This window comes from Homo sapiens, chromosome 14 (genome assembly GCF_000001405.40).
Source record: "Homo sapiens chromosome 14, GRCh38.p14 Primary Assembly".
Classification (NCBI taxonomy): domain Eukaryota; kingdom Metazoa; phylum Chordata; class Mammalia; order Primates; family Hominidae; genus Homo; species Homo sapiens.
The window spans coordinates 34,177,914-34,203,983 of NC_000014.9; the positions used below are offsets into that span (position 1 = coordinate 34,177,914).

Here is a 26,070-nt window from a genome sequence, read left to right on the forward strand (position 1 = left end):
GAGTGCAGGAGAAGGATCCATTAAGTCTGCCTGGGCAAGGCAAGGAAGAGTTCAAATTGGAGACAACTCGAGATCATCCACAGAGTAAAATGATCAGAAGACAAAGGAAAGAATCCAAGGGAACACTAATATTAAAGGATAAATGAAGAGGAGTCTATGGGGGAGACTGGGGAGAAGCAATCAAAAAGGTAGGAGGAGAAATGAGAGAGAGTAAGGCCAAGCAATGTAAAGGAAAGAGAAAAAACACATTAAGTTCAACAGTATTGAAAAGCCACCTAAAACAAGCACACACAGGGACCATGTGATTCAGCATTCTAGAAGTCATGCTGATCTCTAAATACCTGGTCTGTTAAGTATCTGCATAGAAACTTGCTAAAAGCATCTAAAATCTTGCTTCAAAGCATGGTCCAGAAGCATCTGCATCATTTGGGCACTTGTTAGAAATTCAGAATCCCAGACCCATCCAGGAGATTCATGTGCAGGTTAAAATGTGTGAAGCAACCACATCCTTCCTTAGAAAAGTGGCAGTTTGGGATGAATGATCAGATTGATGACCTGCAAAGAACTGGTTTCATAAGGACTCAAATTAAAAAATCAACGCGACAGTTTTACGTAACAAAAAGTAATATGTACAGAGCATTCTTATCCCTAACCTTGATTTAAACATCGTGAATCATGTGTAAGATATTATTACTACCATTTTACTAACCATGTAAAAGGAGCTTGAAGAGGTTAAGTGCCTTGTCAATGACTACAGGGATAATAAATGGCAGAGCCTGGCCTTGAACCTAGATCTTCAGATTTACTTGTAAGGAGGAGGGTTCTGTTCACTGGAAGGAGCAAGAATGTTTCTTTCAGGGTCTGAATGAAATATCAGCTAAGACAATTCAATTTTCTTTGCTCTCATTCTGGGCTTGTCAAGTAGGCTGCTGATGACTGATCTATCTGACTTCCTTTGAGTTTTAATTTTGAGATGGAATGCCCTGGAACAAAGAGAAATGACAATGAAAAAGACAAAATTTTACAAATTAATAAACTGACATTTTTGTTCATAGTTTTTTTTTTCCCTGAGTTGGCAGATGGACAGATTTTTCCAAGCTGAGTTCCTGAATTGTCAAAACTCAGAGTCTGCCATAACTCATGCGGGCTTCACAGTGAGCCACGATACTGTGAAGGGTTGGGAATCACAATGTCTAAAGAAGTTGGGTCTGATTTGGGCCAACAGTATTACCCAAGAGACTTAATCTGGCAGGTAAGGTGTGACAGCAGATGCTTCTGGGTTGATACAATCATTTCTTCTGATCAGTCATGTGGACAAATCATGGTTTAATGGAGGCCTGTTTAGTTTGAAAGAGTACTTGGCCAATGGTAGCAACCCCTTCTTCTTGGGAAAGGAGTTGACAAGAGTTAGGCAGGGCTCTAATGAAGTACTCCTGGGTTTAGGGGAGGGGAACAGCCCTTAATGAGAAGTGCAATAAATTTTTAAAAATCAAGAAAAACACCCAGCAACATATCATGAAATTTAAGGGCATGGATTTTGGGAATATGTAGACCTGGTTTCAGGTCCCAGCACTTGTACTCACTGTGTGGCCTTGGGCAAATCATTTCATTTCTCTAAGCTTCAACTGTAAGACGGGATTAATAGGAATAACTACTTCACAAAGTTGTTGCAAAGATTAAGTGACAAAAAATTACATAAAACAGTTAACATAATGGTTTAACTCACAGGAAACATTCTAAATTAGAAGGTATTATTATCATCATCATTATCTAGTCTGGGGATTCCCAATGGAGTTAAGGTAAAGGCTTTGGTGGGTGGACCGATGGGTGCCAGGGATATGCCCAGGCAGACCAGAAATGAGCAGACAAGCAGAAGACTTCACCTGCTACTGAAAATGAGGCTTTGGAAATATTACCAGGCCTGGTCTGGGCTGAACCAGCACATAGAAGGCTTTAAGTACTGCACCTGCTAAAGCCCCAAAGGCTGGACACAAACAGGTTTCTAGACAGGAAATTTACTCCTGAGGCCCAGCTTTGGCTGCTAGCCAGTCAGCTCTTTTCTCTTTGTAACAATGATAAAAGCTTTGATAAAGAAATGCCTTAAAACTGTTGACTACAATTATTTATGTCATTCCAGTCAGCCTTGTCTTTCTCAATCTTTGTCCCACCTCACCTCTCCCCTAATCTGAAAAAATACTGGAGAGTTTATTGGAAATGTCTTATAATTTATTCTGCGATGGGATGATTTCCCTAGAATATAAACAAAGGGAAAGGCCTTTAGGTGACTTAAATCAAGCTGGTAGGGGACAGGATATAAATATTCCCTCTAGCCCTTGGGCAAATTAGAGAAGTAGATGATCTCCCAGGATTTCCTCTGATGAGATTAATACCCAAGATTTCCTGGTGGGCTTTGTTATAATTTTGGAGGTAAAAAAAAATAAATAAACTATTTTCAGGGCTCCCAAGAGAGACCCATTGCAACCCAAGACTGCTAGTTAACTACCTGCTGGGACCAGGCAAATAAAACCTCCATATTACATTACTTGATCTGGCTGGCCGAAGCTGAATTCTACAGACCTGTCACCTGTCCTCCAGGCCCCAGGTCTGCACTCTCATTCTGCCGACCACAGAAGTGCAAATAGCTCTTAGTCAACAGGGAAATGATGAACTCTTCTTCTTGTTTTTATCTTCACTCTGTAGTATACAGACTATCCTGTTGCAGCAGAATTATTCTGCCCTTCCCCTTTTTCTAGGGGCAAAGTTTAGCCTTAGGCACCAGCTTTTCAGTCCCTTCCTTTTTACTTTAGGGACTTTTTGGTGAAATGCGAGAACTCAGAGGTCAAAACTATTAACATTGTCAAGGATGCCTTTTCCAGCCTGAGAGCTGGGGCCATAGCTTCTTAACAGGGTTCAGCAAACGGTGGCAAGAGAGTCTGCTGCTACCTGACCTCTGTTCCTCCAGCTCAGAATGTAAATAGGTTTTATTTAATTAAGCAAAAATGATACAAAAATGTTTGCTAAAGTTGAAAACAAAAAAGATTAAATGTGACTGGCAGAGTGGTGGGTGGAGGGGGCAACCAGGAAGATCATAGTCTTCTTTAAGCTACAACCCTCAGGCTAAGGAAAGACCATAATCCACCCACCCACCTACCCCCAAAACTCACTCTTCCTTTTTCTAAAAATAACTGCTGGAAATGTGAGCCTTACTCTAATCACGCCAACTGAGAATGCTGCCTTCTTCACTTTTTATGTGTTTGTCAGTAAAACACACACACACACGCACAAATACACACACACTTCAACTGAGACCACTTCATACTGCTTTCTTATATAGGTGTCAATTCTCCTTTGGCCTTGAGCTATCTTTTCCCTTTAGGAAGATATCTTCTTTCCTCCCAGACCATCAGGAAATTCTGGGGGCCTGGGTAGTCAGTCTCTTTGAAGCTTGATTCGTCTAAAATAAAAAGAAGGCAAAACACTTCTCTGAATCCCAGCTCTCCAGGGCTGGTGATTTGTAGCCATTAACAGGGTTAAGCCTCTTCCTGATGGAGCCCTTTGTTTGTCCTCTCAAATGTCACATGGGTCTTGAGGGAAGGAAACCCTGTGTCAGCTTCCACTTAGAGCAAGACTAGGAACTGACCCACCCAGCTGGGAGGCCAGGGTGTAGATTTCATTTACACTTGGCCTGGTTTTCCTCCACTCCCGCTAGTTTTCCTTATTTTCTTTCCCCTCTATGATTCCAGAGGGAGATAACTCAAGGTTCCAAGAGACAGCACCTTAAAGAAAAAAAAGAAAGAGCAAACTCAGATGACCACAGACCCTTGGCATCCCTCCGGTTGCTGCAGCTTGAGGTAATCACAGTTAGTACCAGCACATGAGGGTTATTTGCAAAGTATCAATCTGTCAACAGGCACAAACAACTAACTGCCTGTTAAATGGCAAAGGGATGCATGCAGAGACCCTGTTAAGTTTCAAGTTCTAAAAGCAAATCCTTATATATGCAAGGAAATAATCTTTCAAATTAAAACAATAAAAATAAATAATCTGGCAATATCTACCACCAAGATCTTGAAAACAATATCATCAAGGTTTCTAGCTTGAAACTGCATCCAAAAAAATTTTTATTGAGTGCCTACTATGTGCAGACTGTGATGGGCAGTGACAGTTCCTCTATTAGTTCCAAAACCAGAGCTTGTTCAGTTCAGGGGCTTGAAATAGAGCATTTGACCCAATAGAAATATATATTCAAGGCAGCTATTTAGAATTTTACAGAATTTCAGAGCTTATAGGGGACTTCAGAAAAGTTCAAAGTCCAGGGAGATGAAGTGACTTGTTCAAGGTCAGTTACATCACTCCAAAGCCAAGACTAGAACACAGGTCTCCCCTAAGGTCCAATCTAGGGCTCTATTTCTCTTGTACTTCATGTCTTTAGCTTGCCAACCTCAGAGCCACAAGGAGGGAGACAGACACTTTAGCAGCAGGGATGGGAGGTACAGACGGCATTAGAAATATCATAACTGAGGCTTGCTAGTAGGGAAAACAGCCTGTAGCTGCTACTGCTCAAGTCACCAGAAATAGTTGGAGAAAAACAAATATCAAAAGAGCCTGTCTGACACTGAAATATGGAACAATGTGAAGAACAGAATAACTGTAGCTAGTCTCCCCCAGTGAAATACACTGCTCAGTTAGCCACTTCTTTGTGTAGCCCCCTCACACTAGTCAAGTGCAATGGAAATAACCACATGACTTCCACGGCGTAGGAAGCCTTGTATCTTTTACCTTCAAACGCTCACTGTTGGATACATCTTCGCAGGACCAGGACATTATGCTTTGAGAAGACCATGTTGTCACATGGAGAAGCCCTGTGTTGGCACTTCAGTAGGACAACCCCAGCTGAGCTCTCATCCAACAACCAGCACCAACTGCCAGCCCTGCGAGTGAGCCTGTTGGATGACCAGCCCCTTCCAGCCTTCAGAGTACAGTAGCCAGCCCCAACATCTGACTGCCACTGGAGGAGAAACTCTGAGGAGAAACCCCAGCTACACCCGACTAACCCAAAGAACCACGAGAGATAATAACTGTGTTTTTATTTTTATTTTCATTTTTATTTTGAGACAGTCTCACTCTGTCACCCAGGCTGGAGCACAGTGGCACAATCTCAGTTCACTGCAAACTCCACCTCCTGGGCTCAAGTGATTCTTCTGTCTCAGCCTCCCAAGTAGCTGGGAATATGCCACCATCCCTGGATAATTTTTGTATTTTTAGCAGAGATGGGGTTTCACCATGTTAGCCAGGCTGGTCTTGAACTCCTGACCTCAAGTGATCTACTCACCTTGACTTCCCAAAGTGCTGGGATTTCAGGCAAGAGCCACCACACCCAGCCCAATAATTGTGTTTTAAACCACTAAAATTCAGGTGATTTGTTACACAGCAATAGATAACTGAAGCAGTTCCTTCACACAAAATGGGGCAGACGGGACAATCTCAAAGGCCACCAGTAAGACACCATTTTCAGCTAAGAACTTCCGTGAAATTTTTTTTTTAAAAATAGGACAACCTGAAAAAGAGAGGCATACGCTTTTGTGGAACAAATGCCAGCAAACTCTGAGGCTCATATGAGCAAATGACCAGACACATCAGATATCAAGGACACCAAGGGGAAATAGAAACTGTTCAAAGCTGAATTTAATGGATGCCCAAGGGTATTCATCATGCACGTCACCCCAGCAGCAAATACTCCAGAAGTAAATCAAATGGAGGACGAAGCAGAAGAGCGAAGAAATGCAAAGAGTAATCAAGGGGAAGAAAGAGGCATATGCTCTGCTTGGTACAAAACCATCTGGAACACACCAGAGGAGGGTGAGGCAGTGTGGGATGAACCGAGTATCAGGCTTTGGAGACTGAAGAGATTGCCCAGTCGTTCAAAGGAATAACAAGCAAAGCGAAGAGAGATAATGAGAAATACATCAAATGTACATGGAGAGAGATGTCAGGGCAGGAGACCAGAGCTCTGAGAGTGACAAGGAAGGGCTTTTATGCACAACAGCAGCAACACAAGCTAATGGAGCGATTATCACATGATAATCAGGCTTCGGTGCTAAATGTTAATAGTTGGACCTTAGAGTAATTCAGCTAGTCAGGAGATCTTAGAAATCGTCAAGATGTCTCACTGGGTCCCAAAGTTCACAAAGGGCACAGCTGGAGACCTGGTTTAAAAGAAGCTTTGAATTTTATTCTTTTCTTCAATGATCACAAAGATTAGGAAGCAACTGCCTGAGTCAGACTCACTTGTTCCAGGAGGAGATAATCTGATGGAAATCAAACCTGGCTGAGAATAGGGGTTCTAATGACCTCGGGGAGTGAGGGCCTCACTGTAGAGCGGCAACACTACCTTGGAGATGACTTCAGTTCTGTGTGTCCCAGCACTATGATAATGGCACTGGGCCCATTGCATTCTGATACTAACACTTCATTTAAGTCTCTGGCAAGGCCCCCTCACACAGTGAGGTAAATCAGATGGAGATTATTAGTCATATATTAAAATAAAATATCCTTAACAGGGCTTCTACTATATACCAGAAAATGGGCTAGAAGTCTTACATAAATTCCAAGAATCACATGACATTGTTATTACCACCTTGGTTTTATATGTAAAGAAACTCGGGTTTAGAGAATTTAACTTACTGGCGCAGATGACAGAGCCAGTAATAATAATAATAATAATAATAATAATAATAATAACAGCAAATATTGCACTGAGTCAGGCCTTATTCCAAATGCTTTAATATATATTAATTCATTCCATTTCCACAATAACACTGTGAAATGGCCTTATTACTAACCCATTTTAGATACTGAGCAAATGTTAGAACTCGGATTTGGTCCCCACCCTGAACTATACTGTCAGTCAAGCTAGAAGTCCTGGGGCATCCATGTCTGGCTAACTCTAAAAGCTTTTATTCTTTTCTTTGTACCCCACTTCCCCGCTGACCTCTTTGACAAGTTTCCAATATAAAGATATCTAAATTTAAATCTCCATAACTTGAAGAATTCTTTTAAAAATCATCCTGAACACCATCCAGGGCCCTGCAATTAGCTGCATAGATTATGGTGCAGGGAAATATAGCCTGCTGCCCATTTAAATCCTGAACTGCCACCCAATGTCGTTGTTACTGGCCCATGTTAAAAGGGGAAAGTGATGCTGACAAGGCCAATTGTTAGACGTTGAAGTTGGCTCTTGGGAGTCGTACCTGTGAAAGCCAGAAGCAAGAACAGCTCATTGAATTATGGTTCATAGAAGTTGGGAACAGCTCACTGACAAAGTCCGTATCTTGATACAAGATAAGCCTTCCAGGCTACAGTAACCAAAACGGCATGGTACTGGTACCAAAACAGACATATAGATCAATGGAACAGAACACAGCCCTCAGAAATAACGCCGCATACCTACAACTATCTGATCTTTGACAAACCTGAGAAAAACAAGCAATGGGGAAAGGATTCCCTATTTAATAAATGGTGCTGGGAAAACTGGCTAGCCATATGTAGAAAGCTGAAACTGGATCCCTTCCTTACACCTTACACAAAAATCAATTCAAGATGGATTAAAGACTTAAACGTTAGACCTAAAACCATAAAAACCCTAGAAGAAAACCTAGGCATTACCATTCAGGACACAGGCATGGGCAAGGACTTCATGTCTAAAACACCAAAAGCAATGGCAACAAAAGCCAAAATTGACAAATGGGATCTAATTAAACTAAAGAGCTTCTGCACAGCAAAAGAAACTACCATCAGAGTGAACAGGCAACCTACAAAATGGGAGAACATTTTCACAACCTACTCATCTGACAAAGGGCTAATATCCAGAATCTACAATGAACTCCAACAAATTTACAAGAAAAAAACAAACAACCCCATCAAAAAGTGGGCAAAGGACATGAACAGACACTTCTCAAAAGAAGACATTTATGCAGCCAAAAAACACATGAAAAAATGCTCACCATCACTGGCCATCAGAGAAACGCAAATCAAAACCACAATGAGATACCATCTCACACCAGTTAGAATGGCAATCATTAAAAAGTCAGGAAACAACAGGTGCTGGAGAGGATGTGGAGAAATAGGAACACTTTTACACTGTTGGTGGGACTGTAAACTAGTTCAACCATTGTGGAAGTCAGTGTGGCGATTCCTCAGGGATCTAGAACTAGAAATACCATTTGACCCAGCCATCCCATTACTGGGTATATACCCAAAGGACTACAAATCATGCTGCTATAAAGACACATGCACACGTATGTTTATTGCGGCACTATTCACAATAGCAAAGACTTGGAACCAACCCAAATGTCCAACAATGCTAGACTGGATTAAGAAAATGTGGCACATATACACCATGGAATACTATGCAGCCATAAAAAATGATGAGTTCATGTCCTTTGTAGGGACATGGATGAAGCTGGAAACCATCATTCTGAGCAAACTATCGCAAGGACAGAAAACCAAACAGTGCATGTTCTCACTCATAGGTGGGAATTGAACAATGAGAACACATGGACACAGGAAGGGGAACCTCACACTCTGGGGACTGTTGTGGGGTGGGGGGAGGGGGGAGGGATAGCATTAGGAGATATACCTAATGCTAAATGACAAGTTAATGGGTGCAGCACACCAGCATGGCACATGTATACATATGTAACTAACCTGCACATTGTGCACATGTACCCTAAAACTTAAAGTATAATAATAATAAATAAATAAATAAAGAATTCAGCCACAATTTATATCATAAAAAAGAAAGGTGAATCTCTGATTATAACATGAATTTTTAAAACTCTGTGTCAGCTTTTATAACCTTAAGAAAAAACAATAAAAATTAATGAAATTTTTTTTAAAGAAAGATAAGCCTTCCAGATTGAAAAGGCAAGTAATATTTTTTTATTACAAAACAAAAAAGCACAGGTCTGTGGAGAGAAGACCAAGCTGAAAATATAGGCACAAATCATGAGCTGCTAAAGAGAACAGAGCAACTGAAGTTCCAGACACAAATTCACCTGCTTGGTTCCCGCTCAGGAAAAGGCAGGAGGGACAAGGAGACAGGTGCAGTAGGAGATGCGCCTCTCCTGCCCATGGACTCTTGTTTCCCCTCTAGCTGTACAGAAGCTAACAGCCTACAAATTTTTATTAAAAATTCCTTCTTTCTCAAGTTAATTTCCAGGCAACAAGGGCTACACAATTTAAGGTCGCTGGGGTTTTTATTTTTACAACAGAAATGATTTAGTTCCTGAGTTACTGGAAGCAAACACCCTAATACCTGAGAAAATGTCAAAGTTCATAAAGTCCAATGACCCTATGTTTGTGACATTCTTCACCATGCCGGCCCCCATGCAAACAGCCAGATTCAGAAGAGGCAGGAGAGCTTCACAACTGAGAACCATAAACAAGTATCATTAATTCCTCTTTATGTGCATTTCTCCACGGACTTGGAGCACATTTCTCATGCAGTTCTCACTTGCTACCTGCCAAGGAATGTGTTTTCAATACACAAAACCCAGAAGGCTCAGCATGAAAACAAACACAATATTAGAGTTCTCCAAACACTAATTTAAGAGTCAGAACAAGTCTTTGTAGAATCTGTCAAAAGAGGAGCATCCCTGAGAATCAACTAGAAGAGATTAAAAACAGAAAAGGTATCACAACTAAAATAGAGTTCATAGTCCCCCTGGGGGTAGCAGGCACAGCAAAGAGGCCTTTTTGTTCCTTATGGAGGGCACAGGGAACAACACTGACTCACAAACCCACATGCATACACTATACACATGTGTGAACACACCCATCAGTCTCAGATCTCCTCATCCCTTCCCAGCTGTCTGATCTGAAGACCTTTAGGCTGAAGGCCGACCATCCCCTAGGTTGACCCCAAATGAGCACTTTAGCAGGAGTCTTATAGCCACATGCAAATGTTGCTGCGATAGTGGACTATCCAGCCTCACTGTGGTGCGTGGCATGAGGCCCAGGGTGCCTAGGTCTTTGTATTAGTTATCCATTGCAGCACAGCAAATTACCCCAAAACTTGTTCACCTGAAACAACAAGCATTTCTTATTTCAAAGAGTTTTTGAGGGTCAGAAATCCAACTAGGTCTTTCATGAGGCTGCAGTTGCCTGAGCATCATTTCCACAGTATCCTGTTGGTTCACAGAGGTCAGCCCTATTCAGTGTGGAAGGGAACTACCCAAAGGCATGAGTCAGGAGGCCATATCATTTGGGGCCCTCTTGGACAGTGGCTCCCACAGCTTTACAACTGCACTTCACCTGGTTCCTAGGGCACCGCAAGTCCTGGTGGGTTCCTTGGCCTGCATCCTAGTTCTTCTGCTTGGTAGGCCTCAAACAGCCAGCTGAACAGTGATCACTTGTGACTTTAAGTACTTCTATTGTGTTTGAAACTGAGATGATATTAAGAATGTATTTTAGAATTTAAAATATTTTCAAAATAAAACGCTGCCAACTTGGGCAAATTACCCAAATTGTTTTGGTCTTGTTGTCATTTGTTTGTTTATTGTTATTATGAAATTTAAGACTATAATTTTCTGGATTTTTTGCCAGCTGAAAGAAGATCTGGGGTTCATATGCCATTAGTCAGTTGCTAGATTTCTCCATTTTAATTGAATAACTACTTGGTAACCACAAGTGCAGTTATCTTTGCATGGATATATTTTAATGATATGGTTACTATTTCTGAATCTCACCAACCTGTAATTATCAAGAAGTCATATTTCCTTAAATACTCAAGAGTATTGGTTGGCTACAAATAATAGAAGATCCCATGAAAAGTGGCTTAAATAGTAAGATTTTACCTTCTCATTGCCCATGAAGTTCCACATCTGCGTATTCAGCAGCTCTATGACACTATCAAGGGCTAAGGTCATTTCCACATTCTGTTCTGTCACCCTCAGCACACTGGAAACTCCTTCTCATGGTTGCAAGATGGATTATATCAGCTTTTTGGCTTCATAGCATCTCACAGCCACACCCAAAAGCAGAAAGAGAACAACTTTCTCGTTGGCTTCTCATATTTAAGAACAAAGAAACCTTTCCCATAAATGATGGAGAAAATTTCCATTTGTTTCTCACTGACTAGAATCGTATTGCATGCCCATTTTTTCTTTTTATTAGGAAGGGGAATGGAATTGCCATGATGGGCTTAGACAAATCAAAATGCACCTTTCATCCTGGGGCTGACGAGGTGCCCAACCTCCCTTGAATATGGTCACTCAATATCTGAACTAATTAAGGCACCACTAATAAGGAAAAAGAGGGTCTTTGCTATTGAATAGGTCATCAATAATACTGAGTCAATAGTTTGAGCCCTCATCAGTATACTGCCAGACATTGACCTCTTCTTCTTAACCCTCAATGTTACCCAGATATTTCTGAGAGGTCCCCCAGGAAACTGTCTCATGTATGCTCAAGAAGAAGTAATGACAAGATCACTTCTCTGCAAAAGAAGTACCATTGGGCCCTCCTGCTCTCCCCAGAATTCACAGCTAACCTCCACATGAAATAGCAGAGGAAGTTTCACCTTAGTCTAAGGCATGCTTCTTAAGTCTTCTTTTTCTATCTCAGAGTTGCCCTCTTACCAGGACGATTGACAGTGAGAATATCCACTCCCTTCAAGGGAAATCCTACTTGTATCTGCCCACCTGCCATGGAGTTTAGTCCTGTGGCTCTCATGAGACAATCACATCAGAAAATAATAACTGAATATCAGTAAAGTCAGGTTTTTCAGCCTGGAATAGCATCATGTGCACACACATCAACAGTGCAGCCAATACAACTTATACCAAGCCAAGTCCAAGGCATTTTCAAAGTTTCATCGCAAGTGTGATGTGAAGTTCAGGCCTGCCTATCTTTCCTGGCATTTTGTGATCTCCGGTTCTGATGTTTTTGAACAACTGTTTAAGTAAGAGCACACACATAAGAGTAAGCAATAGTAAAAGGTAAGAGTAACAAACTTTTCTCTGTAAAGGGCCACATAGTAAGTAGTCTAGGTTTCGAGTCTCTCTCTAACAACTACTTGCTATTGCAGTAGGAAGGTAGCCATGGACAATATGCAAATAAATGAACATAGCTGTGTTCCAAAAAAACTTTATTTACAAAACAGGCAGTGGGCCAGATTTGTACCACAGGACATAGTTTGCCAACTGCTAATATAAAGACCGGCGCAGCCCAAATCTAAGGAAAGAAAAGCTTTCTCATGAAGAAAACAGAGATATCTAGAAATCTTTACTTGCTAAAATATACACATTGTTTACATTAGTTATATTTAAACATTTACTTTCAGGAAAACCTTGAGTTCACGGTTTTTCCCCCCAACAATGGCTAGGTACTCAAAATTTTGTTTCCAGAATAAGAGTTCTAAAGCTAAGTTCAAGCTTTCACCTCTTAGGAGGCAGATACTGTTTTAAATTTTAAGTAATAATTTTTCCAGCTTCTGGGAAAAAAATCTATAACGTTTAGGGAAAAAATTAAATTTCAAGTTTCATCCAAAACATCATATCACATCTTCAGCTCACTCTCAGAAAGAATGCAGTGTCCTCTAGAGTAACTGGCAGACTCAAAATCCCAATGCCGACTTCCACCAAACATCTGATTCTATTACACACATTGTAAAATGAAGCCACGACAATTCCCAACTGTCCAATTTGTCAAGAGACAAAGCTGTGTCACCTCCAACCTCCAGACATTCCAGAACCACCTTCTACCACTCCACATACTACAAACACATATTTTACCAGAGAATTGATTCCCAAACTGAACAGATTTCTAAACGGCTGGTTTTACTACATGATTTTACTTGAAAGGCACAGATGCTCTTCTCAGCACCTCCCTGGAGAAAACAGTAACTCATCCTCTGCCACCATCACCACTCTAGCAGGAGGATTAAGTCCAGGAAATTTTAATCTCCTTTAAAATAATGCCCATTGATTGTACGTAGTAAACACTTACTGTCCTGATCCACTCTCATGTGTACTTACTGAAATTTATTTACTCTCTCCCATCATCAATCACGGATGCCCTGCTCAGAAAGGCACTCATACAGTCTTGGCGAGCTTGCAGTGCTTGGAGGAGCCCTGACTTTACCCTCAGGTCCAGGACATCTTCAGGTATATTCTCCCAGGTGGGCAGCAGGTATCAAACATACCAAAACATGAAGACAAGATATGAACGAGCAAAGAGGAGGAACTGGCTATGGCTAAAACCCAAGACAATGGGTGAGTGGGAAGTTGTTATTTTTTTACATTTAGGTCACTGAACTATGTAAAATAAAAAGATTATTGAATTTACTAAATGCCCTATATTGTTATAAGAACAAGGCAAATCATAGCTTTCAGCCCCAACCAATTTCCTCATGAACACCCTCTAAAAAGCAGTGTGATCACTACTGTCTTAGTCTGTTTTCTGCTGCTATAACAGAATACCACGCACTGGGTAAATTATAAGTAACAGATGTTTACTCAGCTCATGATTCTGAAGGCTCAGAAATCTAAAATCAAAGGGCCAATCTGGTGAGGGCCTTCTTGTGTATCATAACATGGCAGAAGAGCAAGCAAGCACACACAAGACAGACAGGAAAAGGAGGCCAAACTCCCTCACTAACCAACCCACTCCCAGATCCAGGGTTTGGAACTGGGGATAAGTTGAGTCAGAGAAGTCTGGGTCTGGGAAAACAAGTGGATGATGAGGTTTGAACAAAGACTGTGGGAGGTAATGAACCTTGTAATCACAGTCAGAGGCTGGAACTAGATGACCTGTGTTTCAATTCCTGTCCTGTCCTTGAACTGTGACCACAGACAAGTTCTTCGATATCTTTAAACTACATTTCTTTGTCTATAAAATGATACTGGTAATTGTAGCTACAACCTCAGGGAGTAGTTGTAAGACTTAAATGAGGTAATCCGTGTAAACCGTGTTTGAAGGTTTCCAAATAGGTTGATTGTAAATGTTCAATAAATTCCTAGCATGGGAATAAAATCGGGACTTGGGCCCTTATAGAACTAAACAGGACTTAAAGGACTGACATGCAAAGACCTAGATACAAAGCTTGGCCTGAGGCTGGATAATCACTCCCCAGGGGGAAAATGAAGCTGAGATACAAATACTATTGGGCAGAGGTGAAAGAAAGATCTGTGACACAGATTATCGGCCCACCCCAGAACAAGGCATCTCCAGGTGCTATGGACATTCACAGCACTGGGTGGTGGGCATTTCGGAGATAAGGCACCAGAATAGTCAGGGTTCAGGGTAAGGCACCCAGCTACTGGAAAACTGAGGTAGAAGACAAGGATCCAGTTGTGCCACCAACATCACAGGGTTGCCAGAAAGAGTGAAGGTACCAAGTTAGGGGGCTGCTGATGTAGGATTGGGCCCAGATTCAGGTGCCGGGCTAAGCATATAGACACTGGTGAAGGAATCCAGCTGTAACAGTCAGAGACAGAGCACAGAGAGTGAAGAAATCAGGGTACCTAGAGGGTGAAGGGATTGGGGGTATCTAAAGGTCTCTGCCCACTTTTGGCCATAAACAACACCTCTACCTAGCAAGCAATATGAAAGAGGCCACAAAACTCGAACCTCCTTCCTCTAGGATCAGAGTTGAGGTCTGCCCTCTGATATCCCTCTTCCTCTCTCTGGTTATCCAGCATTTGGCCTCCACTGCCCAGATCTCTAGGCTTTGCCTCAGCTGATCATCCTGGAATTGACTCCTCATGAGTCTAGACCTGAAGACTTTTCTTCTTAGCTGCAGTGACAGTCCCTTGCCTCTCGACTTGTACTGTCCCTTGGTCCCCACAATGAGAAGATCAAACTCCACTGAAGCTTGTGCCCCAAACACACTGCTGTGACAGGTGTCAACTGATAATTATTCCAACTCCACAAGTCTTTTTTTTAAAAAAAAAAAAAAAAAAAGCAATGTTCTAATGACACTCATAAAAATATTTTTTCTACTCTCATTGTTTTCATGTTGCCCAAATAAAGATAGCTTTGTTTTGTTTGCCAATTCCAATTGCTTAGCAATGGCTGCCTGGGATGTATGCATATTTTTAATTATTTAATTTTCTTTTTGTTGGTTTTATTATTAAGTTCTAGGGTACATGTGTACAACGTGCAGGTTTGTTACATATGTATACATGTGCCACGTTGGTGTGCTGCACCCGTTAACTCGTCATTTACATTAGGTATATCTCCTAACGCTATCCCTCCCCACTCCCCCCACCCCACAACAGTCCCCAGAGTGTGATGTTCCCCATCCTGTGTCCAAGTGTTCTCATTGTTCGATTCCCACCTATGAGTGAGAACATGCAGTGTTTGGTTTTCTGTCCTTGTGATAGTTTGCTCAGAATGATGGTTTCCAGCTTCATCCATGTCCCTACAAAGGACATGAACTCATCCTTTTTTATGGCTGCATAGTATTCCATGGTGTATATGTGCCACATTTTCTTAATCCAGTCTATCATTGATGGACATTTGGGTTAGTTCCAAGTCTTTGCTATTGTGAATAGTGCCACAATAAACATACATGTGCATGTGTCTTTATAGCAGCATGATTTATAATCCTTTGGGTATATACTCAGTAATGGGATGGCTGGGTCAAATGGTATTTCTAGTTCTAGATCCTTGAGGAATCGCCACACTGTCTTCCACAATGGTTGAACTAGTTTATAGTCCCACCAACGGTGTAAAAGTGTTCCTATTTCTCCACATCCTCTCCAGCACCTGTTGTTTCCTGATTTTTTAATGATTGCCATTCTAACTGGTGTGAGATGGTATCTCATTGTGGTTTTCATTTGTATTTCTCTGACGGCCAGTGATGATGAGCATTTTTTCATGTGTCTGTTGGCTGCATAAATGTCTTCTTTTGAGAAGTGCCTGTTCATATCCTTCACCCACTTTTTGATGGGGTTGTTTTTTCCTTGTAAAGTTGTTTGAGTTCTTTGTAGATTCTGGATATTAGCCCTTTGTCAGATGAATAGATTGCAAAAATTTTCTCCCATTCTGTACATTGCCTGTTCACTCTGATGGTAATTTCTTTTGCTGTGCAGAAGCTCTTTAGTTTAATTAGATCCCATTTGTCAGTTTTGGCTTTTGTTGACGCTTTTGGTGTTTTAGACATGAAGTCCTTGACCATGCCTATGTCCTGAATGGTATTGCCTAGGTTTTCTTCTGGGTTTTCATGGTTTTAGGTCTAACATTTAAGTCTTTAATCTATCTTGAATTAATTTTTATATAAGGTGTAAGACAGGGATCCAGTTTCAGCTTTCTACATATGGCTAGCCAGTTTTCCCAGCACCATTTATTAAATAGGCAATCCTTTCCCCATTGCTTGTTTTTGTCAGGTTTGTCAAAGATCAGATGGTTGTAGATGTGTGGTATTACTTCCAAGGGCTCTGTTCTGTTCCGTTGGTCTATATCTCTGTTTTGGTACCAGTACCATGCTGTTTTGGTTACTGTAGACTTGTAGTATAGTTTGAAGTCAGGTAGCATGATGCCTCCAGCTTTGTTCTTTTGGCTTAGGATTGTCTTGGTGATGCAGGCTCTTTTTTGGTTCCATATGAACTTTAAAGTAGTTTTTTCCAGTTCTGTGAAGAAAGTCATTGGTAGCTTGATGGGGATGGCATTGAATCTATAAATTACCTTGGGCAGTATGGCCATTTTCACGATATTGATTCTTCCTATCCATGAGCATGGAATGTTCTTCCATTTGTTTGTGTCCTCTTTTATTTCACTGAGCAATGGTTTGTAGTTCTCCTTGAAAAGGTCCTTCACATCCCTTGTAAGTTGGAGTCCTAGGTATTTTATTCTCTTTGAAGAAATTGTGAATGGGAGTTCACTCATGATTTGGCTCTCTGTTTGTCTGTTATTGGTGTATAAGAATGCTTGTGATTTTTGCACATTGATTTTGTATCCTGAGACTTTGCTGAAGTTGCTTATCAGCTTAAGGAGATTTTGGGCTGAGACGATGGCGTTTTCTAAATATACAATCATGTCATCTACAAACAGGGACAATTTGACTTCCTCTTTTCCTAATTGAATACCCTTTATTTCTTTCTCCTGCCTGATTGTCCTGGCCAGAACTTCCAACACTATGTTGAATAGGAGTGGTGAGAGAGGGCATCCTTGTCTTGTGCTGGTTTTCAAAGGGAATGCTTCCAGTTTTTGCCCATTCAGTATGATATTGGCTGTGGGTTTGTCATAAATAGGTCTTATTATTTTGAGATATGTTCCATCAATACCTAGTTCATTGAGAGTTTTTAGCAAGAAGGGCTGTTGAATTTTGTCAAAGGCCTTTTCTGCATCTATTGAGATAATCATGTGGTTTTTGTCTTTTGTTCTGTTTATATGCTGGATTATGTTTATTGACTTGTGTATGTTGAACCAGCCTTGCATCCCAGGGATGAAGCCCATTTGATCATGGTGGATAAGCTTTTTGATGTGCTGCTGGATTCAGTTTGCCAGTATTTTATTGAGGATTTTTGCGTCAATGTTCAGAAGGAGTCTCACTCCATCGCCCACGCTGGAGTGCAGTGGTGCAATCTCGGCTTACTGCAACCTCCACCTCCCAGGTTCAAGCAATTCTTGTGCCTCAACCTCCCCAGTAGCTGGAATTACAGATGCGCACCACCATGTCCAGCTAATTTTTGTATTTTTAGTAGAGATGGGGTTTCACCATGTTGGCCAGACTGTTCTCAAACTCTTGACCCCAGGTGATCCCCCCACCTCGGCCTCCCAAAGTGCTGGGATTGCAGGTGTGAGCTACCGCACCCGGCCAATATTTGAAATTTCTAGTATTATGACTATGTAAATGCTATTCACAGATGAGCCATGTATTATCATAATCACTTTTTCTTTTTTGTACAACTTTATTTTCCCTGGAATTAATAATTGCCTTGTTGTCTTCATTTCCTTAGTTTTCTATGTATTTATCACTAGTTTAATGCCTATCTTTGACAGTTGTCTAAATCTCCTCTCAAGGTATTCAATATATATTCAATTAATTCAATTAATAGTCTATTAATTTTGTCTTCCTGAGGAAATGTGACCTAGAGCTTTCTGACCTGCCCCAACCCCTCTATATTTTGTACACTCACTGTCTTCCTGGTGTCTCCCTTCATGGTTCTGAGAATTCCTTTTGCTCCCAGTTTCCTATGCCTTATCTTTTCCTCTTTCTTTGTTTATACCTCATTTTCATGGAACTCATCTACCAGTCACTTCCTAAGAAGAGGTATGTGGGAAGGAAATGGTTTTGAGAATGTGTGTATCTAACAATGTCTCTATTCCCATCTCACATCCAACTGATACTGTGAACAAGTATCAAATGCTAGGTTGGCAATCATTCCTCCTTAGAATTTGAAGGCCTATAGCTCTATTGTTTCTAAATTCTAATTTTGCTGTTGAGAAGCACAAAGCCATTCTGATCCTAATCCTTTATGTGGCCTACTTTTCTCTTTCCAAAAGCTGGTAGCATCTTCTTTGTCCTCAATATTCCAAAATCCCAGAATGAGGTGCCCTTGGTCTAAGTCTATTTTCATTCATTTTAAAGGTACTTAGTGAACTCTTTCAGTCTGGGAACTTACGTCCTTTTCTAGAAAATTTTCTTGAATCACTTGATCGATGACTTTCTCCTCTCTCTCTATTCCTTCTTCAGGAACTCTTATATTTAGATGTTAGATCATGTAAACTTGTCCTTAGAATTTTTAAATAAATATCTCATCCCTATTTTTCATTACTTTTTATTTTTGTATTTTTTCAGAGATTTGCTTAACATTATCTTCAATATTTCTATTGAGTTTAACTTTTTGATTATACTTTAATATTTTATATGTCTTACATTCTAAGAATCTATTTTTTGTCCACTAAATGTTCCTTTTTAAATAGTATTTATTTCTTATTTCATGGTTACAACATCTTCTCTTGTCTCCTTGAGGAATATTAACTATAGCCTTCAATTTTAAAAATTTTCATCTTCTGGTTTAGTCTCTGCTTCCTCCAAATTGCTGTTTCTGCTTTCTTTGGTCTCTCTCTCTCTCTCTCTCTCTCTCTCTCTCTGTGTGTGTGTGTGTGTGTGTGTGTGTGTGTGTGTGTGTGTGTGTGTGTGTTTCTCTCATGTTAGAGCCTCTCTACGGATGTGTAATCTTTGGTTATCTGCTCATATTTGAGTGGGGACTGAAAAGCTGATAGCATGTTCACCCTAAAGAGTGATGAGGATCTCATTAATTGCTTCCAGTTACAGTCACCCAGTCACCAAAAAGGATCCAGTGAGTGTGTCATTGAACAGTGGATTGGTTACCATTCACAGCAGGAAAGAGGAAATAAATGGACAAAATCCACAGCAGGTTACATATAGGAGAAATTGTCAGAAGAGCTCTCTTCCAAGGTTTCTGGAAGTATTGAATGTATTTCTACTGAAACTGAGAATGAGGCAATAGACTGCCTTTCCATATGGCTTAAGGACAAGCTTAGCCATCACTTTCACCTGAGATTTCAAATATTCTTCCAGAGAGAGATTTACTGCACTACGTAGAGATACCAATAATTTCCCATCGAACATACACCTTCCTTGGAAGTCCTATTCACATCCCTGAAAGGACAGTCCTGTGTACCCCTCTCCTCCACCACACCTGAGTGGACCATAAATAGACCTAACTCAAACTGAACACTGAGATTCTCTCTCCCAGGAAACTTCAAATAGGACACTGAGAAACACAATTAAATGGTGAGGATTCCTTGAACTGAAAGGTTAAATAGGGTCACAGCAGGAGTTTGTAGCATGACCAGACAAAGAAAGTTCACGAGACAGACAAATAATACCAATATAAGACAGTAGCTGAAGACAGCAGATGTGTAGAAAGAGCAGAAATAAGGGACACCATAGCCTCGTGCCACAAGAGACTGAGGAGATGGTTTCAGGTACTGACTTACCAGATGACCTGATACATGTTCCTTACTGCCCTGTGTCCTGTCTGTAAGTTCATATTGTACTTGAGCTAGTATGTGTGAGCTTCTATTCTTTGTCATTAAATGATCCCTAAAATATTCACTAAGTATAATAGTCAGGAATCAACAGGAAAAGATGGTCCATTCAAACATAGTAACAGAGGAAAGCTTAATAATGGGATTATTTACAAAGAAGGGCAGAGCGTAAGGAAACCAACCAAGAATAATGGGGCACCTCAGGTCTAGCAAGAGCGGGGAGCTGATACCACCCTAGAGCTGAAAGGGCAAGGGACAGGAGCATCTGTCTGAGTCTGGAGAGAGCAGGGACTTTTCGACAGGAGTTGTGGTCATAGGTAGATGGACACAGCCAACTCACAGCAACACAGCAGGAAGGGAACTGGCAGAATCGATATCCTGACCTTCCACTCTGCCTGTCCTCCTGTACCTGTAGATGCCTCTTTTGTCAAACCTACTAGATGACAGAGGGCAAGGTAGCCACTGATACAGCCCATGAGTGGGTGAGAATGGAGAGTGGACTGGAGAGGCAAATGGAAATCATCTAGCACACAAAGTAACTTCTGTGCACATTTGCAGGAAAAAACTGGCTCTCTTCTCCTTGACCCTGGGTAACCTTTTTTTTTGAGACTGAGTCTTGCTCTATCGCCCAGGCTGGAGTGCAGTGGCATCATCTTGGCTCACTGCAACTTCTGCCCCCCGGGTTTAAGCAATTGTCCTGCCTCAGCCTCCCAAGTAGCTGGGATCACAGGTGCCTGCCACCACGCCTGGCTAATTTTTATATTTTCAGTAGAGACGGAGTTACACCATGTTGGCCAGACTGGTCTCAAACTCCTGACCTCAAGTGATATCCACCCACCTCGTCCTCCCAAAGTGCTGGGATTACAAGCATGAGCCACCATGCCCAGCCGACAACCTCTTTTTGGCCCATCTACTAAACTAGAGGTGGAGAGAGCACAACTAAAATTCAAACTTACCCCAGTCAAATCCAGCTTGCTTTACAGATGATTACATTTAATTACATTTAAAATTTATAAGCATCAATTTTTTAATCATAGATTCAAGTTAGACATGGACTTTCTTTTTTTCTTTTTTTTTGTTTTTTGTTTTGAGACTGAGTGTCGCTCTATCGCCCTGGCTGGATGTGTGTGTAGTGGCACGGCCAGGATAGTCTCGAACTCCTGACCTCGTGATCCGCCTGCCTCAGCCTCCCAAAGTGCTGGGATTACAGGCGTGAGCCACCGCGCCCAGCCAGATACGGACTTTCTTTAGAGTTTAGAACTAGAAGTTCTAGGTTGTCTACTTAGAAACACATACAGATACAAACATATGGAAAGCATATTTCATTTTCCTTCAGAATTTCCAAAGCAAGGGTCTTTCCTTATACTTCCTTTCCAGCTGCCCCAGAGCACCTTCTGCAGTGATTCTCAGTGTATGGGAGAAATCGTAAAATAATCAGTGAAGGAGAAAACGCACACTCACAGATGCCACATAAATTAGAAGTTTTCTTTTGGAAGAGAAGCTCAGAAATGTTCTAACTTAAGAATATTATATTTCCTTCCAACTTACCAACTTTCCTAATAAGAGCATGTCTAATCTCAAGTTATGATAGAAACTTTGCACAAGAAGGTTAGATGTTCCAGAACCACTCCTGTGGCTCCAGCGTGTCTTCATCTCCATGGCAGAACCTTCTCAGGGCAGGCATTGGAAGTACCAGCAAGCTTGACTGCATATCACCACCGTCTGTTTTTTGATGAGCAGATAAGATTGGTGATAGGGCCTTTCATTTTTAGGTTGTGGTCAGAAGCCCTGCATCACTGAGTCATAGTTAAAGCTGCTCCTTCTGGAGATGGTGGGAAACGAGTGGGTGTATCCAGCCCACCTCTTCCTAGATGAAAGCTGCCTAAGAAAAAAACACCTCAATACATCTGGCATGAATGAATCGGCACAGATTCCTGTGGTATGGAGAGCGGAGGCTGTGAAGAAATGTAAACTTGTAGACTCTGGGAGATAGTCTGGCCCAAATATGACAAAACAGAAAACACCCTGAAACTGCTGTTTTTAAATTGAAAACAATAATCACAGGATCCAGGATCTCAAAGCATAAGAAAGGAGGCCAGATGAGGTGGCTCATGCCTGTAATCTCAGCACTTTGGGAGGCTGAGGTAGAAGGACCACTTGAGCCCAGGATTTTGAGACCAGCCTGGGCAACATAGTGAGACCCTGTCTCTACAAAAAAATTTAAAAATTAGCCAGGCATGGTGGCATGTACCTGTGGTCCCAGCTACTTGGGAGGCTGAGGCAGGAGGATCACTTGAGCCTGAGAGGTTGAGGTTGCAGTCAGCCATGATTGTGCCACTGCACTCTAGCCTGGGCAACAGAGCAAGATGGATGGATGGATGGAAGGAAGGAAGGAAGGAAGGAAGGAAGGAAGGAAGGAAGGAAAAGAAAGAAAGAAAAGAAAGAAGGAAAAAAAGAAAGAAGAAAGAGAAGGAAGGAAGGAAGGAGAGATAGGCAGGCCTTCCTTCACATCATACTGGTGATATATATGTGAGCTGGGACCACATGAATTTTAACATCCTTCCTTCATGGATGAGAACCATTTGCATGGAAGTGTGATATCCCTACACGAGGTTATAATACTGAAGTTTTTCATCTGCTCATTATGATCCAAGGCTCCCAATACCCAGACTTTCAATTAGCTCTACTTTCTACTAATGGGCATTCATAGGAATGAGCTGATAGCAGCAACAGATTATAATTCTTGGCAGAATCAGTCTGCATGCCTTTCTAATGCTTAGTGCTAAATCATCACTTATATCACCACTATCACAGTTCCGAAGAGACAGGGGATATGGACAAAACTGAGAGGCAGGCGAAGGATAGAGCATCGCTAATGTCAATCTGTCTGACAAGGATGAGACACTAGGCCGCCAAGAAGATCAGTCTAAACAAAACAATGACCACCCATAGCTACAGGTCAGTAAGACCCAGTGAGCTACAGTACACAAAAATCTGTGCCTTCCCTGGAGGTTTGTCCCACAGAAAATAAAAAAAGGATCCAACAAAGGGGATTCAAAGGACTATGCAGGAGAGACTATAGAGTAGACATCATTTATTTATCCTGGCTTTTGTTAGGGTAAATAAAAGCAGAAAACTTCCCTGGTTGGCAAATCTTTCGCACACTCCAGAAATTGCATTGTATATGTCCAGTGACATATTCTCTCTCTAGTGAGGAGATAGAGGAAAGGGACATTTGGAGAGAAGAGTGCCAAATAGGTCTTAGTGAAGTTTCAATCTGTGAGATGAGATTGTGTTGTTCATTCTGTCCTACAGCGGAGACAAACATCTGGCAGAAAATATCTATTAGTGCTTTCTTTGAACTGACCTCTTGAGTGAACAAGGTAGATTGCAAAAGAGTGTTTCTACTATGATTTCATTTTATGTAAAATTATAGATTTGAACACAAATATAAACAAAGATGCGTAGAAAGATGACTGAAAGAATGTTGCAAAAGTATGAAGAGTTATCTCTAGATAGTAACTGTTCAGGGGATTTCACGATTTTCAGCATTGTTTCATTTTCTACAAGGAAGAGGTATTATCTTCATAAATAGACAAAACTAAATAACTTTCTTTAGACTAATCAGAAACCAGCAATATTCAGATATTTTATTATAAAAGGCAAAGGAGAGAATAAACATTTATCAGCTGCCTTCCTTGCACTCAGGACTATGTTTGGCAACAAGCCTCGTGAATTATTATTTTTCCTATTTTACAGATAAGAAACAAAAGTGCAGAGAATTTGCCTAACTTGACCAAGACCTCCACCAGTGTTTTCAACCTTTCAGCAAAGGAGAAATCCCAGAGCCAAGATGCTCTTTCACTCAGCTTGAGAAAGAATCCCAGGGAAAGAGGGAGTTTGGGATGGAAGGCACAAGTGCAGGCCCATCTCTCCAAGTCCCCACTGAGAATCCCTCTGACTACTGGCAGAGCCACATATTGTGAGTCCATTAATAGAGAAAATATTGCCCCCTTAGCTGAGGTGTGGCCAAAACAAATGAGAGCAAGATGCTTTGTGATCTTTGAGTAGCAGGACTAGCTGTGAGGAGTCCCAGTGTCACCCATGACATGTGTTCTGGGGAACATCCACAGTGAAGGCAGCAGAGCCATTATTTGAGGTCTAGTTGAGGGTCACCCCACATCAAAGCACAGTGCTAGCAATCAGGATTACCATGGTAACCACTTGAAATAGCTAAGCTTCTCTGGGCCTCAGTTTCCTCAACTGGAAAGCAAAAGGGTTTGCCTAGAAAATCTTTAAAGTCCCTTCCAGTTCTAGGAATCTATCACTCATGATCTAATCCCAGCCACCACTTCTGTCAGAGTCATTAGACAATTGCCCTAGCACGTTCAACTGGCCCACCAGACATTGCTTCAGGGCCTAAAATTACGTGTGGTAATGCAGAGATGGAAAATCTCTTTTGTAATCTGCGTAGGATTTTGCTACCTACTTAGCTTAGTTTCACAACCCACAATTATCTTTGAAAAACAGACAAGTCAATTTACTCTCTCATCTATGTTCCAGAGGGGGGCCAATCCCACACTCCTCCTTCTTACAGAAAAATCCCCAAATCTCAGATAGGAGTCAGGATAACTCAGGAGATTTGGCAGTATGAGCTTGGAATCTTTCCCACTGGGTCCCAAACACTTTATCTCTTAAGAGCTGCTTTTGTAAGGCAGGCAAGAAAGGCTGAGTTAATACTGAGAATTTATAAATGGTTTTGCAAATTAAACAGAATTCTGTCTCTGAAAGGCAACCAGGAGAGTATTTCTGTTCTCCTGTTATTTGCTCACAAGCAAAAATTCGAAATGCCGATAAAAGCCCCTTAGTGCTTGCAGGTAGCCACTTTCTTATCAAAACAAGACAGAAGAGTAAATTGAACCATCCAGAAAATCACATATCCACCCCTTAATAATATTAATTGAGAAAATCTCAGACAGTGGCAGTGTGGACAATTATAAACATGAGATGCAGATGGCCGAATCACAATAATCAAACTCAATTGCTATTTGGAAAGAAAGAGCCAGGAATGAATTTAAATATGTGGTTCAGTGGTCAATTTCCAATATTTTCTCCTGTGCAATCCATATCCTGCTTTCAAAGGTAGGTGGGCAAAGATACTAAGTCTTCCAGATGGAGGTGGGAGGCCTTCTCTGAGTTGGAAATTCTGCATAAACAGCATCAAGCCACTATCTAGCCTCCCTGAGCATCTCAGTTCACCATGGAGGCACCACGAACTAGAAAAACAGTGACATCCCTCTCTTCTCACCCTTTGCAGGACAACTTGTGGTCCAGAGAAATAGGTTAGAAAACTTCCTCTTCGTGGGCTCTGGAGAATCATTTGTGGTATTCACTCCAGGAAATCAATTTCTGAAGTCTGTTTCATAGACTTTAATGAGTTCCTTATTTAAAAAACAACATTTGGCAATCTCTATTCAAATATATTTCATGCGTTTCTATTGAGTCATTTATTTGACAAACCATGTGCTATCTGCTTCCTTTTTGAAATGCTATATTTTAATTGGGTCAAGGATATGTGTGCTATATTTTTTAGAGAATTTTTTTCATTTCCAGAGAAGAGTTATATCTAAGGGTACATCTTAATCCAACATAGCAAGAGTCTGTTTACCTTCCCCGCCTTAGCATGTTCCACCTTTTAAAGAGGCTAATGAGTGACTCACGTTTTTGGCTGACTTTTCCTTGAATATCAGGTCTTCTCTGAGTGAGCAACTCATCTTCTGCACAGATACTGCATACCCACCCACCCATCCCAGCTTAAATACTGTTTGTCTTGCTTCCACTGATAGGAAAAATTATTCAGATTCTATCTTCCCACTCACTTTAGTTACGAGAATGGGTGAGGTTAAAGAATTTGGTGGCACCAACTGTGAGATTCACCTTTATTGTCTATCCTTTTGAACTGTCTTCCCACTCACTTCTCTAGCTACAAGAACGGGTGAGTTTAAAGAATTTGGTGGCACCAACTGTGAGATTCTCCCTTATTGT

The 26,070-nt window shown here is 41.2% G+C and overlaps 1 long non-coding RNA gene across 1 annotated transcript in view, besides 2 other annotated features; it reads right to left on the reverse strand.

The window, feature by feature from the left end:
- Positions 1-25,815, reverse strand: part of LOC102724945 (uncharacterized) — a 244,858-nt gene extending 219,043 nt beyond the window's left edge. The window contains exon 1 of the long non-coding RNA XR_001750942.2: positions 25,746-25,815. This is a non-coding gene — a long non-coding RNA (uncharacterized LOC102724945). The remainder of the gene's footprint in view (positions 1-25,745) is intronic.
- Positions 2,537-2,586: an enhancer, noted in NCBI's record as "active region_8250". NCBI's record gives its function as "activates an Ori minimal core promoter by ATAC-STARR-seq in GM12878 lymphoblastoid cells {active_cell/tissue: GM12878}" and the evidence as "EXISTENCE:reporter gene assay evidence [ECO:0000049][PMID:35858748]".
- Positions 2,637-2,696: an enhancer, noted in NCBI's record as "active region_8251". NCBI's record gives its function as "activates an Ori minimal core promoter by ATAC-STARR-seq in GM12878 lymphoblastoid cells {active_cell/tissue: GM12878}" and the evidence as "EXISTENCE:reporter gene assay evidence [ECO:0000049][PMID:35858748]".
- Positions 25,816-26,070: the final 255 nt, after the last annotated feature.